At 38.4% G+C, this 1,889-nt stretch overlaps 1 annotated feature.

The window, feature by feature from the left end:
- Positions 237–649: a transcriptional cis regulatory region, noted in NCBI's record as "candidate enhancer chr3.4520 targeted for multiplex CRISPR interference". NCBI's record gives its function as "positively regulates P2RY1 gene expression with high confidence in K562 cells {active_cell/tissue: K562}" and the evidence as "EXISTENCE:mutant phenotype evidence [ECO:0000015][PMID:30612741]".

Raw genomic sequence — 1,889 nt, 5'->3', positions numbered from 1 at the left:
GAAGACAAACTCTGCTTATCCAATTACTTCTTAGGTTAGCTCTATTTTGCTGAATCCTAAAATAGCATATTATTTCTTGCTGCCCATCTTGTCACAGTTGAAGAATGAAAATTTGGGTTAAAGGATGGGGACAAGTAGAACTAATTGCTAGGTCAAGCAAAGTAAATTAGATGCAATGTCTAAGTCTATTAATAGAAACTGTCCCCAGAACCCTGTGCTATAGAGCTAAGTGCCAAAGAGAATAAAACATCGAATTGGTCCAATCATTTCCAATTTGATGACCAAGAAATGAAAACACTTGGGGGAGTCTATTCACAAGCTCAGAATATTTCTAGTTCTCTTTCTTTGTCAGATCTTCAGGGTAGGCTTTGGACTTTCAAAGCCAGAAGTGATAGCAAGTCATTCTAAAGTGTGCAGAAATGGAAGCATGATGAAGCATAAGCACTCAGTCTTCTCGTTAGCCTTCTGGGTGGAAAAGATAAAGAAAACCAGTTTAAAAAATGCCAGTATCTTCTTTCCGGCAGCCATAGGCACCTTAGCTTTTTGTTTTTAAAGAAATGCCACAAGAAGGCATTTGGTTAAGAGAGGGAAAAGAAGTGTGCTTTGTAACTTTCACTAGAAGTTAGAAATAAGAGAAAAGAGTTCTGCTTTGCAACTGGCCCTGCATATTAGAAATCACTCTGACTATTGCATACATTTAGACCAATGAAAGTCACATATTAATGTATCATTTTACTGCCTTTAACACTCTTGCATCCACAGTCAAATCTGAAATATGAAGTAACTCTCAAGGGATTCTGTGAAGTTAATATTGTCTCTGTTTTGCAGATGAAGGTTTTCTACTCAGAAAAATAAACTTGCCCTTAATCACACAGCTAAGAAATTCCAGAACACAGATCAGAAGCTGAATCTTCATGATCGTAATAATTTCATAAAATAATGATAAGTTCACATTATAATAACTCTAGAAGAGAAAGCATGCAACACTGTCAGCATTAAATCCCCATTTCTGGGCTAAATGACTACATGGATTAATACTTATGCGTGACATAGAGTCATGATAAAAAGCGATGCCACAGTCAAAATTGTTTTGATGATCCCAAAAACAATTCCTCAAAGACCTATTGTTTGGAGATAATTATAGTCAGATTGAAAATTATAGAAAGAGAGATTTGGGGAAATTGGGTGGTAGCCTTGGCAGGCCAAGTATCAAATTGTTTGTTTTCAAAAGAATCAAATTGTTGAAGCTTGTTCCTTAAGGAAGAAATGGTTTCAAAAATGATTAAGTGGGCTGAGTGTGGTGGCTCCTGACTGTTATCTCATTGCCTTGGGAAGCTGAGGTGAAAGGATCACTTGAGGCCAGGAGTTCAAGACCAGCCTGGACAACATGGTGAGACACCATGTGTAAAAAATAGTTTTGTTTTTAGTTATCTGGTGTGGTGGCATGCATCTGTAGTCCTAGCTACTTGGGAAACTGAGTTGGGAAGATCACTTTAGCCCAGGAGTTCAAGGTTACAGTGAGCTATGATCACACCACTGAACCCATGCCTGGGTGACAGAGTGAGACCCTGTATCTAAATTTTTTTTTTTTTTTAGTGGGATATACCTCATTTCTGCTAGAAGGGCTCTAATTTTCTAGCTCAGGTTTCCCCATTGACTTCCTACTTTATTCTTTTCTCTTTTTCTTTCTTTTTTTTTTTTTTTGAGATGGAGTTTCACTCTTGTTGCCCAGGCTGGAGTGCAATGGTGCGATCTTGGCTCACTGCAACCTCTGCCTCCCGGGTTCAAGCAGTTCTCCTGCCTCAGCCTCCCAGGTAGCTGGGATTACAGGCATGCACCACCACACCTGGCTATAAAAAAATTTTTAAAGGGATTTGTATATTATTATT

Source organism: Homo sapiens, chromosome 3, assembly GCF_000001405.40.
Source record: "Homo sapiens chromosome 3, GRCh38.p14 Primary Assembly".
Lineage (NCBI taxonomy): Eukaryota > Metazoa > Chordata > Mammalia > Primates > Hominidae > Homo > Homo sapiens.
This window is presented reverse-complemented; position numbering and strand designations above follow the sequence as displayed.